This window comes from Homo sapiens, chromosome 1 (assembly GCF_000001405.40).
Source record: "Homo sapiens chromosome 1, GRCh38.p14 Primary Assembly".
In the NCBI taxonomy this organism is placed as follows: domain Eukaryota; kingdom Metazoa; phylum Chordata; class Mammalia; order Primates; family Hominidae; genus Homo; species Homo sapiens.
Genome location: NC_000001.11, coordinates 231,712,036 through 231,727,528, shown reverse-complemented (window position 1 = coordinate 231,727,528; position 15,493 = coordinate 231,712,036). Strand labels below are relative to the sequence as shown.

Sequence of the window (15,493 nt, the reverse complement as noted above, 5' to 3'; positions counted from 1 at the left end):
ATGGTCAAATAGAGGAGGAATTAATGGCCAGTCTTGCCCAGTGTTTACTTCTTCAAAATGTAAAATGTCCATCCCTGCCCCCTGTCCTAAACTCGCTCTCTGTCCTCCATTCACACATGTAGGACATGCAGCAGTCTCCCTTTAGGGCCCCAGGCATCAGTGGTTCTGAACCACCTGGAAGTCATTAAGCCCTCTGAGGAATACTGGGACATGTTGATATATGAAATTCTATCTTATACACTAGCAAAAATATCAGTAGCAGAAAATAAGAATCCATTATAGGTGTGCAATGTAAAATTAGAGTGAGAAGCACAGGTGTCCATGAAAAATAGAGAAAAAGCAAGCTATAACACGAGAGATGATAGTTTCTGAGTATTCCACGGATAATCATGTGCTATGTTCATCCATTTTATCATCTTGCAGACACCTGAAGACAAGCAGGAGCAGGCAGGGATGAGCTGGTGTTTTAAGAAAAGAATCAGAATATTGCTAATTACCAAGTACTGACTGCATTACTATGCCAGCCTTAATCCAAGGTTGATTCTATTAGCTTGAGAGCCCTCTCTTAATGAATAATCCTGAATAGTTACACCCCAGATTCTTGCAGGGAAGGGTAAAATCTCACTGCAGACCCTTATTTGTCCATCATAGGCTAAGAGAGAGATCATGGATGTGATTATGGATATGATATTTCTAGAAAGATGATGCAGTCCATCCGTCTCTCTTTTCCTGATATTCTAAAACCACTTCCTGAATTAAGACAGAGCAGTTAAGCAGCATGTCATGGAACCAGATCATGTGGCCACTTATAAAACTGCCTTTGCCCAAACACATTCTGGGGTGATACTATCAATTTATAAGAACTGGCCCCTGTTGTGTCAACTGCTTTTGAGAATATTGTCTTTTACATTATGTAGGGAGGGAATACAGCCCGTCTTCCCTGCCCTTAGGTATCCATGAGGAGGGGCTTTCCCTGTTGCCCCGCTGCTTTCACCTGTCCAGGGAGATAGACTGAATTTCCCCACTGGTAAACTGGGACCTAAGACTGAGCATGTGTAACTCAGTGCTTCCTCTCTCCCTCCTTGGTGGAGGCCAGGTGACCTTGGGCAGCACTCATTTGCTCTGCTCCTCCAGAAACTCAGGTTTACAAGGCCAGGCCTCAAAAAAAAGGTGCCTGCAGCTCATCACTGCCCACAGCTGCATGGGCAATTCTTGTTCTGGGGTTTGGTATTAGGAAGCCCACTGTTGCCATATACCCAAGCCACATTCCATAATGTTATGTTATCAGGAACGATGCTGATATTTAGATTTCCATCTTCTTCATGCCTTCATGTTATCTCTCACTTGGTTCATAACATGGAAAAGCAAAATGTTATTTTGGGGCTGTGCCTGTTATTAAGCTATTGTCTCTCCCCTCTAAACATATCTTTTTATCTTCTGTTTTGTGATGCTGAGGCTGGACCTCTGTAGACCAACCATGTTTCTGACTTTGCTGCCAGCTCCAAAGAGACTGCAAGGCTGGAGGAGGAAAGGGGATGTGCTCCTTCCTGTCTGCTCCCTGCTTTCAGCTTCTTGCTCCTATCTGCCACTCCCTAACAATGCTAGGCTACACCATTTCAGTGTGCAGTTTCTCCAGCACTCGTAGGACCAATCTCATTCCCTCAAAGACACCACCCCCGAGACCAGCCAGTGTCACCCTCTTGGGCATATGGACCCAGCCCAGAAGGGCCTTCAGCCAGCTCAGGCAGCACTAACTGAACTTTTCTCAGCAAACGGAAAATACCAACAATGCAGGACAGGCAAGCCCCCAAACTGGGGCTTATCCCAGGAAGGTTCTTGACTTCAACCAGGAAATAATTCAAGGGCGACCTGGTGGTGTTAGACAGCAATCATCTTAATGAAGCGTACTGCTCCTCGCAGAGCAGGGCTAACTCATAGGCAGCAATGCAGAGTCAGCAACATATGGGCTCTCGGAACTGTGTTTATTCCCACTTTCAATTACAGGCAAATTAAGGGGTGAGCTAGTGCAAATTGAGGGGTGGGTTATTTAGAACTTCCTAGGAAAGGGGCAGTAACTTCCGGTAGTTGCCATGGCATTTGTAAGCTGTCATGGGGCTGGTGGGATGTCTTATGCTAATGAGCAATAAGGGCAGTTAGGGATGGCTTTTGTCGCCATCTGCTGGTTTGCGTCAGTTTCTTCACTTGACCCTGTCTGGACCAGATCCTGTTTGGGTCAGGAGGCTTGTGAACACAAAATAAGTCTTGCCAGTTTCCTACCTCACCACCATTATTCCAGGATGTATTCTGTGCGTGCAGAACATGAGAATCACTAGAGCTGATCATCAAGAGGGACTTGAGCATCCCCACGAAGCCTGATCACTGGGGACGTCACTGTGGTTGCTGCACAGCGAGGGCTGACTCCCCCTCCCTGCTTCCACACCACCGTGACCCTCTCTGTGGTCACACAAAGCCATAACAGGCCACGAGGGAGTGACTCACTGATCCTGGAAACAGACAGTGACCCTGTAGGTCCCGGGGAATCTCTCCTATAGTGACATGGACAACAAAGAGCACTAATGGATGTAGACCAAATCCTGTAGAGAAAGCCAGCAGTACCTGGTTAAATGGGAACTGGCCTTTTCATTTGTAACAACAAAGCTATGCTACACACTTGGCTCTCAGAACCACCCTGACAACTACCCTAACCAAATGACAGTGACACTTGAGAATGTAAAATAACCACTGACAACCAAACGCCAAATGCCAAAATTTGAGTGGAGATAGGCCACAGTTAAGAATAAAAGACACAGGGCACCTCACTGTTTAAGGACAGACTCTGAAGCCAGGTCTCCTATTGAAGACTGCTTAAGATTAGGAATTCCAGGAAAAGTTTGCATCTGTGTCTATACACAGATGACTAAAGGAAGGAAGAAGAAAAGAGAGACTGCCTTTGGGGGAAGAGCTAGGCTCAAGGCTGTGACAACTCTTTACCTCCCCTCTCCTGCAGCACAGCGGTTATTGTACGCTGGTTCCCTCTCCTGGGTGAAGGGCTTCAAGACAATCACCTTGAAGTTTGGGGATGTCTACAAGAAGGGTAAACTGGTATCACACTTGGGGCGGTGTTTGCAGGGTTCTAGAACCCACAGGCCACTTCACTGCCATCTTTAAACATAGTAAGAAGTCCTCGGGAAGAAATCAGGGTGGAAGAGTCAGGATAAGGGAAAAGGCTCTTCTAGAGCCCCGCTGTTTCATGAAAAACCGGAACTTCTAGGTCCCCAAGGACCCACGCAGGCAGGCAGGGCCCCTGGGCATCCCAGGAGACAGCCCAGGGAAGCAGCCCTGCCCCCTTCCCCACACAGAGGATATGACAATTGAGCATGCAAAGCCAAATGAAGTACCAAGGCCATTGTTCAAAATACTGGTCCAATCTATTAGCAGGTGACAATATCCATTTAAAGGATGAAGACCAACATTCACTTTTAATGAACTAGAATAGAACAAATACAATATCAGAGTGGGCTGCATTTTTGTTCTATGTATATACAGGGTCATGGTGAGTTTCCTTCCTGGAGTCACCATCACAAACTGTGAAAGCCACTGACCTAGGGAATTAATTGTCCAGACATCGGCACTGGGCACAATAAACTTGCCAACAAATGCTCCTGGTTGTTTGGGTAAGAAGATGTAGCCCACCCCACAACCAACAAAAAAGAGGGAGGAAGAAGGGAGGGAGAGAATGAAACATCGGTTCTTGCCTTTCCTCACCCCAACAGTCCCAGTGGCTGCAGAAGTCTGTCTGCCAGGGAAGGGAAGGAGAGATGAATGGAAGACTGAATTTGAGAATAACACTAACAGTGGCTGACAGTGTCATAATCCAATTGATGAGACAAAAATCACCAGAGCAGACTGTTATAAGACAGAATAGGACCAATATTTTAAAATGTTTGCTCTGGACAGGCCATCAGAGAAGTCTGATATAACAGACATGCTATATGAAATTTAACCTTTGATGTAACCACAGGACTGCACAGAAAGAATAACGTTCACTTAAACCAGACCAGAAATAAGTTCTGCACAAAGAGTAAGGTCGTAGCCAGTGCACCTGATCTCACAGCAATAATTCTGGAAGCAAGGGAAGAAGATCATCGCCGTTCCACAGACCTGAGTTTACAGGTCTTCCTGCAGGAGCTTCCTGCCCAGATGTTCTGCCTGCAGTTATGGTTGACCCTTGAACAACACGGGTTTTAACATGTGAGTCTACTCATAGGCAGACTTTTTTTTCAATAAATACAGTCTGTATCAGGGGTTCCAGATCCTTAATCCAACATGAATCAAAAATACAGCATTCGCCAAGTGTAAAACCTGCAGATATGGAGGGCCGACTTTTCATATCCACTGAAAACAAGACTTGAGTACACGTGGATTTCTGTATCCACAGGCGTCCTGGAATTAATCCCCCATGGATATCAAGGGACAACTGTAGTACATATTGCCACCAAGGGGAAAATGATTCCTTCATAATTGTCCTAAAGGCCTCCGAAGTTTAATTCCCGTAACTGACATTAATCATAGCATATTTTTCCATTTGCTTTTGGGTGGTTTCTCCCCCCTACAAAAATCTAATTGTCCCAACACAGAACAATAGCGGTTTTTTCATGCCATGACAGGGGACTGGGAAACGCATGGGAGAAACGGTACAGTGGGCAGAAATGCCCACCTGGTTTTTTTCAAGCCCATGGCCAGCATCCAGACAGCTGCTATCCTGAAATAATGTTAAAAGGGAGAGGAATATGATGCTACCCTGATCATAAATGAGCGTATTCTTCCACGTGGGTCCTCTTTTTCTTTTCATGATGTCTAAAGAAGTCATGATCTACGCTGTGTGGATATCTATTTGTCTTGCTTTGTTTAAATTTGGGAAGTTTCATTAATAGGAGTTTGGTTCAGGATGTCGAGGCTTCCATGGTGGATCCAAAGCAATTGGTTCCAGCTGCCAAGAAGAAAATGAATACCTCTGAGTGGAATGGACACAGAATAACATCCTTGACTGGGACTAACAGTATTTGAAGCACTGTGATGTTTATGCTGGACACACTTGTTCGAGTGTGGATAAGTAGAAAGATCTATTTCATAGAGCAGTCCAGGCAGAGCTGTCCGCATTCTACAGAACCTCATTTGTATCAAATACCATGGTCATTCCAGGTTAAGCATCTCTAGCATACTGTGTTTTTTACTCAAAATTCAAGCTTCTATCAAACATGAAAAAGAAGCCCAGATTTGGGAGGAATCTCTTCCTTTCTCTCAACAATAGTTTCCAAATATCTGAGATACCATTTTTGAAAGTCCTTAAGGCAGTGCTTTTTTTTTTTTTTTTTTTGAGATGGAGTCTTGCTATGTCGCCAGGCTGGAGTGCAGTGGCGCGATCTTGGCTCACTGCAAGCTCCGCCTCCCAGGTTCATGCCATTCTCCTGCCTCAGCCTCCCGAGTAGCCGGGATTACAGGTGCCCGCCACCACACCCGGCTAATTTTTTGTATTTTTAGTAGAGATGGAGTTTCACCATGTTAGCCAGGATGGTCTCAATCTCCTGACCTCATGATCTGCCCGCCTCGACCTCCCAAAGTGCTGGGATTCCAGGCGTGAGCCACCGTGCCCAGCCAAGGCAGTGCTTTTCAAGAATTTTTGTTTACTTCTTGATTTTTTTTCATTGTTTGTTTTTCTTTTTCTTTTTTTTAGCAACAGAGCCCTTTTTGAGATGAAATCTTACTGGACTAATAACAGATGGAAACCAAAGTACTCTGGATGAAGCTTCCCTTTCAGCCTTCCCTAAGGCATCTCTGAGGCTCCTCAGAACACAATTTGAAAAGCACAGCCTTCTGGTGTTCTGAAGAGAATACATGGATCCAAAAAATGTTGAACAGCTGTAAATATCAGCAACCCCAGGTTGCCAAGTTTTTGTTGCTGCCCCAAGTCCATATGATATAAATGAACATTTCATTGTATAAGGTCTTTAAGAAAAATAAAAGATTTATATCTTTTGATACAGTTTTGATATATCTGATTTCATAAATATGCATCAAATATTAATCTCAGCCAGATTTACTTACTTGGAGCATGAAGCCAAATCCTCAACTGTGGTACTAAGGATTTTATTAGAATTCTAACTTTCCAGAGAGTATTTTTAAACATTTTCTTCTAATTTTTTCTCTCCTAAAAACTTTTTTTCTTTTTTTTTCTCATCTGTAGTGTGGAAAAGAATAAAAAGCAGATAACATTATCCACAATACTCCAACCAGGGACAGCCTGAATTAATATGTTGACATAGCTCCTTTCAATCAGCACAGTTTTTATATGTATTATTTCCTCTGTTTCTTTCATCAGCCCAGCAAGGTAGGTAGAGCTAATGTTATTGTACTCATTTGGCAGATGAGGACATCATTTCTCACATCAGGACAGACCTGGCTCTGGAAAAAAGCTGGGAAAAGTTCCAGAATGGCATGCCCATTTTCCATTGTCAATTTTCATGATCCGTATCCACAGTTGCTGTTCACCCCAAATGAAAATGTAACCCTTCCAGTGACTTCCTGCAGAGGTAAAGTAAATTACCTGTGGTTATTAATGCAGTCAATGTCAGAACTAGGTATGCAAAGTGAGATGACTGGTAGCAACTTCCTCCAACAAACCTGTAAACGAAACGACAACACGTTTCCTACCTGCTGCTCAGAACCACTTCTGCCCTGTGACTATCTGGGAGAAGGAACAAACTTAAGAACTTCACATTTTAGCCCTCATGCAGAAAGCCCCAAGGGAAAAAAATCACCCAGTGGTAGAAAACTAAAAGTAGTCAAGTTAGGGAACGGCAAAAATGAAGCATTAGAAAAGCTGAGAAGAGGCCGAGTGCAGCAGCTCACACCTGTAATCCCAGCACTTTGAGAGGCCGAAGTGGGAGGATCGCTTGAGGCCAGGCATTCAAGACCAGCCTGTGCAACATAGTGAGACCCCGTCTTTATAAAAAATTTTTAAAATTAGCCAAGTGTGGTGGCATGCACCTGTAATCCCAGCTTCTTGAGAGGCTGAGGCAGGAGGATCGCCTAAGCCCAGGAATTTGAGGCAGCAGTGAGCTATGATCATGCCACTGCACCCCAGCTGGACAACAAAGCGAGACCCTGTCTTAAAGAAAAAAAATTAAAAAGAGTAAAGAAGAAAACATCCTATGGTAAAAGCAAAGAGCAAAGAGGAGAGGAAGACAGCTTACAAAGACAGAAAAGTCAAAAGACTATAGTGGGGTACCTGCGAGTAACCAAGTCCTTGGCAATGAAAATTCATTATGAGCAAATCTCACCTCACAATAAACTCCTAGAGGAACTAATTACACTAAATGTTCTGGCCATGACTTAGGGAGTAGTCATCCCTAAGGCACCCTTGGGTATATGGAAGTTGCCACGCTCGGTAGCAAACAGGGGCTGCTTCAGTGTCTGTCTCCTGTCGGGTTAGTGTTCTATCAAGCCTGTCAATTGCAACTTATTTTGTGTTATGAGACAAGCTGGCACATTGTATAAAGGTCAAGTGGAAAACTGTCCCTTCTGCTACATCGCTGTCATCAGCTACTAAAGGTCATTCCACCCAATACATGGCTGTGACGGAAAATAACTTTGTTTGTCTACTGTGACATATGAAAAAGTCCTTCTGCTGTGAGCTTTTTGGTTTCTCTCTACTCTCAACAGGCATCAAATTAGGTGCGCTAAGGTTATCTAAGAAAATGATTATCTAAGAAAATAATCAGTTCGCAAATACATTTGAACAAAAAAACACAAAGAGATTAAAAAGCCTATCTCTAGCAGATCTAAAATACCTAAATATTTTACCAGTGAGTATAATTTAACAAACATTCATTCTGAATGATACATAACCCAAATATTTAGCATGCACCATCTCATTTAATTCTCCAAACAACCCTATTATCCCATTTTATAGATAGAAAAAATAAAGCTTAGAAAGAATAATTTGTCCAAGCTTATACAGCTAGCAAATGGCAGAATTGAACTTTGCAGTCAGGTTTTTAACAAGGTTGACCTGAAAAGCGCTAATGCTTTATAATTCTATTGTTAGTAGAATTATCAGCTATTAATAATGTAACAATGATAATAAGATGATAAGTGATAATAAGATGAATTCACTTGTTCATCCAACAACCACTTCTTGAGAGGCTACTTTGACCAAGCACTATGCTAAGTTCTGGGGATAAAGAGTAAAAATGAATAGGGTCTCTTTCTTTCCCTAGGAGGCTAACAGTTTAGCCAAGAGGACAGCCAATAGCTATGCTAAAACACAATATGTATGAGGATAGAGAATATACCAAGCACTCAAAAGAAGGGGCACTGAAACCAAGTCTTTTTTGTTTTTTTGGAGACAGGGTCTTGCTCTGTCACCCAGGCTGGAGTGCAGTGGTGTGATCATAGCTCACTGCAGCCTCGACCTCCTGGGCTTAAACAATCCTCCAGCCTCAGCCTCCCATGTAGCTGAGTCTATTGATGCACAGAACCATGTCTGGCTAAATTTTATAGACATGGGGTCCTGCTATTTGCCCAGGCTGGTCTACAACTCCTGGCCTCAAGTCCTTCCACCTCAGCCTTCTAAAAAGCTAGGATTGTGGCATGAGCCACACCATGACCAACCAGAAACCAAGTCTGGATGACCTAGTAGGAGAAGGAGGTGGTAAGTGCAGGCAGAGGTACTAAACAGTGGACAAGGCAGTATGCCTTCGGGAACTACCAAGGGACTAAAGAGAAAGTTGCAGCCAGGTGCGGTGGCTCATGCCTGTAATCTCAGCCCTTTGGGAGGCCGAGGCGGGCAGATGACCTGAGGTCAGGAGTTCGAGACCAGCCTGGCCAACATGGAGAAACCCCGTCTCTACTAAAAATAGAAAATTTGCCAGGTGTGGTGGCACATGCCTGTAATCCCAGCTACTCGGGAGGCTGAGGCAGGATAATCGCTTGAACCCGGGAGACGGAGTTTGTGGTGAGCCAAGATTGCACCATTGCACTCCAGCCTGGGCAACAAGAGCAAAACTGCAACTCAAAAAAAAAAAAAAAAAGAGAGAGAAAGTTGCTTGAAGTGGGGAAGGAATGGCAAGAAATGAAGTTAGAAAGCTAAGCAAGGGCCAGGGCAAGAAGCTGGTTATGGCAGGCCATATTTAACATTTGTCCTGATAGTGACATTAGTCACGCAGAGAGATGAAGTAGAAAAGCAATTGTAAATGAGTTTTAGAAAGAAGACTGGTTACAACATGAAGGATGATTGGAAAGGGATTGAAGGATGATCGAAGGATGCTTTGGAGGGGGATGAAAATAGAAACCAAGGACCCATTAAGAGGCGAGTGCGTGTGTCCAGACAACACTTACGAGATCAAAGGACAGAAGGAAGAGATACTTAAGAGATAAAATCGAAAAGGTGTAGTGGCTCATGTCCCGGGAGAGCTGAAAGTCCACAATGACCCACAGGCTTTTTTCTGCTTGACTTGCCATTCATTGTAATAGGGGATATGGCAAGAGGAGCTGGGCTGAGATATAACAAAGATCAGGAACTTCTAGAGGGATGGTGGGAAAAAGATAGTCTTTAGATCTTAGTTTGGACATTCTATACAATAGTATTGGAAAATAAAATGGTGCCATGAATTCAAGTCTTTTTTTTATTAATGAAGAGATTTGACTGTCAAGAAACAAATGGACAATGAAAGCAATTCTCGCACTATGACAAGCAGGCAAATGAAGTAAGGAGGTTGTGGAATTGTCTGATGCGTTCATACAACACATAGAATTATTGAATGGTGCTCAGTCTATGGGACCTGGAGACTTTTGGCAGTGAGAAGATTGCTGGAGTGATCTCTCTTCTTCACTGCTGCTTATTTTCCAACTCCACTCAGTCCCTACTCTGAATACATGACCCTTGCCACCTTGACCCACTTGATCTACCTTTCCTCATCAACAAGCAAAACTGAAATGGCCAATGCAGGACCCCACGCCTATGGCTCAGTGAGACAGAGTCAGCAGAGGGAGGCGGGCCTTGGCTTTTCTGACCAGTTCAAACTGTAGCAAGGCTCCAGACTCCAGATCATACACAATCAGCCTAGAGACCCCCAGCTACCACTACCAACACCAAAGCAGAAAAGACCAATCCCTCCTATAACTTTCTACCCACTCGTGAGATGCCCTTTGGTTCTGCCAAGGGCCTGCCTTCCTCCAACTGAAGACCTTGTTAACCTTCAAATATTTATATACCATAAAGGTTTTTATTTCCGAGACTTGCAGGAAACTTATTCACATTTCCCTAGAGAACTTTTTTTTAATGGGCCACAATTCATCTCCCAAAGACAGGACCTCTAGAGCAGCTGATGCATTCACACCATGCTTTGAAGCCCTCATTGACTTAGGAATAGGAGCTGGGCCAAGCAACAGGATGAGAGAACAGCCAAACACAAACTGCAGAGCTTGCTAAATCTGGAAGGAACCGCCACTCAAGATTTTCTTCTGGCATGCCTCTCTGCCATCCAGAACGTGTTGGTAGTGGATTTGATATTGATTTTTTATTAGACAGGATGCAAGATTTAATTAAGTGCCCAGACACTTTATAAAAACAAATTAGCTGTCCAGTCCATCACCCAGAGCAAGGAATTCCACGAAGGAGCACAGGCGCCATCTCGTTGCCATTATGCAAAGGAAATGGACTCCATGTTTGTAAATGACCATTTTAAATGGAAAGATTAAATGGTTACCTGAGAATTACACCTTAGCCTTCTCTGCCCATGAGGGTGAAGGCCACAAAACAGTAGAGACCCACAGAAACATAATCAGAAGAGAGAGAGCTTTCAACCTCTCTTTCTTCAGTCTTGTCTTTAGTATTCCATGTATGTCCCATTTTCCTCCTTCCCTTTCCATTTTTTTTCCTTCCACTCTTAAAAGCAGGATTGCCAGTTCTTTCAAAGCCCAAGCAGGGTTTCAATTTCATTTTCTCAATGTCATCCAATGTCATGCAACAAAGCATCAGGCAGAAAACGAGAGATTCTAGGTCATGAAATTTAGACTGCAGATAAAAAAAATAGTTTGCCATACGACAATGTGAAGAGTAGTCAAGCTTTAAATGCTTCTTTATAATTTGCATGTTTTAATATATATTGCTTTACTTCATTTCCAATTTTTTTTTTTTTTTTTTTTTTTTGCAGATTGAAAGAAATCAGGCTATGTGCAAATAAGCTTCTTATTGCCAAACAGAAAAGAAGCCAAATCATTGCATCTTATTTTCTGCACGCTATTGGCACTAACTGCTGGCAGGGAGATTTTTCAGAAGCATCCACACTTTACACAGTGTTTTCTAACATGTAGCACCCGGGGGTAGCGGGTAAGTGGTAGGTAGAAAAAGAAAAGGCAGCAAATAATTCTTCAATACCTCCAGGCACTGTGCAGGCATCTCACACACATCATTATCACATTTAACCTTCCACCCACACAGCAGGATAGGTATTATTATGCCTAGTTTATCCAGGAACAAGCCAGTGCTCAAGGACAGAAGACAAAACAAAAGTGTGCTGCGTGGCCACACTGACATTCTGGTCTCCTCACCCAGTCCCCCTCCATTCCCGGCTGAGCTGTCCTCATCCAGAGGTACAGAGACAGTTACTAAACATTTCACGGCTCTTTGTTTGGAAACTATACCTCAACTAACAATATACTAAAATTTAAAACTAAATATGTAAATAAATGCATTAAATTTTTCACAGCTCATGAAGGTGCTTTTAGTACTGACTATCCCAGGCTGATTAAGAGTTGATTATTTCTAAATGGCACTTCATGTAGACATAGAAGAGTTAATTCTGCCAACTGAATTCATCAATCAGTCAATTCAGTGAGAAAATGTGGTCCAATCAGTCCCAGAGTATATATATGTGATAACCTATTGATGGGTTGAACTTTTCCTGAGCCCAGCACATAAAGCTCCCGGAAAAACAGCCACAGTCAGAGACAATCAAAGGTTACTTTGGTCCCAGTAAAGATCAGACAAAAGTCTCTGGAAAATCTGTTGCAAGAGGCACCTTCAAGCTAACATGTAAGACCAGGTTTTGGGATGGAAATGACTGTATTGACCAAATGAATGAACTCTGTAAGGAGTGTTTTCATTTTAATCTTCTTTATGCATTTTTAACATCCCTCATTTTTAAATTCATATGCTGCTCTCAATCATTCCTAATTGCTTCGTGTGTGCATGTTTCACTAGGCAATAAGCATACTAGCTACTATTTTTATCTGCACTGCACCAGTTCCCCCATCTTCTCCTAACAGATGTACCCACCTCATCACAGAGACAGACAGGTAGCCAGGCTTGGCTAATTACAGTACCTCATCCCTTTGGTTATGGTCATTGGTCCAAGGAGTCAGCACCTAACCCAATCCTTTCCTGAAGGTTTTCATACTGGATCCAAGAGGGGAAGTCTCTTTTTCTTCTCTAGTCGTGTGTTGTTAATTCAAAAGTCTTCAATTGCCACATGGAATAAAGTGGTGTGATCATTTTAAAATATGCCCACAAGTTCTTTGACATTCTTCCATCAAAAAAATGGTCTAATTCTTCTCCCCTTGAAGATGGGACAACTTTGATGACTTGTTTCAAATGAATCCATGTGGTGGAAGTAACAACATAATTTCTTAAGATAGATTCATAAAAGATGATAGAGCTTCCTCCAGCATACTGTGTATGTGCATATGTGTGAAAGAGACTCCTCCATCTCCTTCTGTCTCTCTCTCTCTCTCTCTCCCTATATCTTTCTCTCTCTCTCAATCCCTATCTCTCTCTTTCTGTCTCTCTTCTCTGCCTGTCTCTCCTTGTCTCTTTCTCTATCTCTTTCTCTCTCTCTCCTCTCTCTCTGTTTCTCTCTCTTCTCTCTTTCTGTCTCTCTCCCCCATCTCCATCTCTCTGTCTCTTTCTCTCTGTCTCTGTTTCATACATATCTGTGAGTAGAATTGCTGAATCATATGGTGATTCTATGTTTCTCTTTTTGAAGAACCACCAAACTTTTATCCATAATCATTGCACAGTTTGGAGTTAAACTTTGTTTAAGGTGTGAGACAAGAGTCCAACTTTATTCTTTGGATGTGAAAATCCAGTTGCCCCAGCACCATCAGTTGAAAGAACTATTTTCTCCCATTGAATGGACATGGCACCCCTTGTCAAAAATCAACTGGACACAGATATATGGGTGTATTTCTGGGCTATTTTCCATTTTTCAGTGTAAACTCTATTTACATGTTTCAAGGTAAAATCTATTTTACATGTTTTAATGTAAAAGTCTTTCACTTCTTTGGTTATATTTATTTCCAAGTATTTTATTATTTTAAATGCTATTATAAATAGAATTATTTCTTATTTTCCATTTGGGATTGCTCATTCCAGGTAGATAAAAACATGACTGACTTTCACACCTAAAACTTTATAGAATTTGTTCATTAGCTCTAGCAGCTTTCTTGTGGATTCTTTAAGATTTTCTACATATAGGATAATGTCAATCGCAAATAGAGATAATTTTACTTGTTCCCTTCCATTATGATGCCTTTTATCTATTTTGCTCTGACTATAACTTGCAGTGCAATGTTGAATAACAACAGTGAAAGCAGATATATATATATCTCCTATATATATATATATCTCCTATATATATCTCTCCTATATATATATCTCCTATATATATATATCTCCTATATATATATCTCCTATATATATATCTCCTATATATATATCTCCTATATATATGTATATATCTCCTATATATATATATATATATATCTCCTATATATATATATATATATCTGCTTCATGATGTCCTAGAGGTCCCTTCAGTTCTCTTTACTTCTCTTCGTTACTTTTGCGTTCTGCTCTTTAAACTCAATAATTTCCATTGTAGTATCTTCAAGTCCACTGATTCTTTCTTCTGCCTGCTCAAATCTTCTGTCTAACCCTCTAGTAAATTCTTCATTTCAGCTTTCAGTTTCCAGCTTCAGAATTTCTGTTTGATCAATTTTTATAATTTCTATCACTTTATTTCTCATTTTGTTCATACACTGTTTTTCTGGTTTCCATTAGTTCTTTGTCCATGTTTTCTTTTAGTTCTTCGGACATCATTAAGACAATCATTTTAAAGTATTTGTCTAATAAATTTGATGGCTGGGCTTTCTCAGGGATAGTTTCTGTCCACTTATTTTGCCTCTTTGAATGGGCCATGTGTTCTCGTTTCCTTTGTATGCCTTGTGATATTTTGTTGAACATTGGGCACTTAAATATTATAATGTAAACTCTGGCTATCGGACTCTCACCCTTCCCCAGGGTTTGCTGTTTTTTATTTTTGATGGCTATAATAGTCCATTTGTAGATACTTTTCCAAACTTCCTTTCCCAGTCTTTGCAGATTGGCTCTGTGCTGGGGAACTCCTACAATACTTACCCAACCTTACACTTAACTCAAGGATCAGCCTGAAATGAAAGCTTAGGGTCTTCTCTCCTCTTTTCTGAGCATGCATCTTGCCCCAAGTATATGCATGGATTTCTACATTTTCCTGTATACATGGTGCTTTTGAATGTCCTAATTTCCCACAGAATCTCTTCCAGCTTTTGCACCTGGACTTTAGATGGTCTATTGTACACCTCAACCAGTAATCTTTTGCCCCAGGTTTTTGCAGTTTGTTAGCTCACTTTGAGCATTTGCAAGCAATGCCTGCCATTTTTCCAGCCTATGTTCTAAGTTAGGCTAAGCAGAGATACATGCCTATGTCAGTACTTAACGTAGCCCCCAGACAGGTTAGAACAGACATCCACAATAAGTAAGGTCTTCTCTAGTCCCTCTGTAATCAGGGACCAGGGTCCTACACTGGGAATGAAGGCTGTCATCATCAAGAGAACTGTCTTGCTAGAGAGAAGGCTGGGACAAGAGCAAATAAAAATGCTACAAAGTTTCCCACCATTTTCAAGTGGCCTTTTTCTTTATTCAGTGTTTGCTTGGTTGCTTAAACTTTTGCCTATTTTCCAGAGTTCTGATCATGTTTGTTCTAATGGTTTCTGTTTGTTTTTTGATGTTTCTGTGGGGAAACAAAGTTGGAGCTGCAAACTCTACCATTTTGCTAACGTAACTCTTTGACACTGCTTTAAGTTTTTTGGTGGTTATGCCGTATATAAATTGGATGTGGCTGCTATAACTAATTACCACAAACTTACAGGCTTAAAACAACATAAATTTATTCTCTCATAGTTTTAGAAGCCAGAAGTCTGAAATCAGTTTTACTGAGCTAAAATCAAGGTATTGACAGACTGTATTCCCTCCCAACATTCTTGGGGAAAATCCTGTCCTTGTCTCTTCCAGCTTCCAGTGGCTGCTGGAATTCCTTAGCTTGGAGCTACCACTCCAATCCCTGCCTCTGTGGTCACATCACCACCTCCTCTTCAATTGGTCCAATCTCCCACT

General features: G+C 41.9%; 1 protein-coding gene and 1 long non-coding RNA gene across 29 annotated transcripts in view; both read right to left on the bottom strand.

The window, feature by feature from the left end:
* TSNAX-DISC1 (TSNAX-DISC1 readthrough (NMD candidate)) overlaps nt 1-15,493 on the bottom strand; it is a 512,620-nt gene that overhangs the window by 313,744 nt on the left and 183,383 nt on the right. The window lies entirely within an intron of this gene.
* DISC1 (DISC1 scaffold protein) overlaps nt 1-15,493 on the bottom strand; it is a 414,483-nt gene that overhangs the window by 313,744 nt on the left and 85,246 nt on the right. For 2 of the 22 annotated variants that reach the window (NM_001164553.2, NM_001012958.2), the window contains one exon: nt 3,455-4,990. The exons of 18 other annotated variants lie outside the window; for them this stretch is intronic. In NM_001164553.2, the coding sequence (NP_001158025.1) occupies nt 4,944-4,990 (47 nt within the window). In that variant the 3' untranslated portion in view covers nt 3,455-4,943. Of the gene's footprint in view, nt 1-3,454; nt 4,991-6,456; nt 6,583-6,604; nt 6,682-15,493 lie in introns of those variants that run through there. 2 more of the 22 variants (NM_001164552.2, NM_001164550.2) reach the window with 2 other exon arrangements.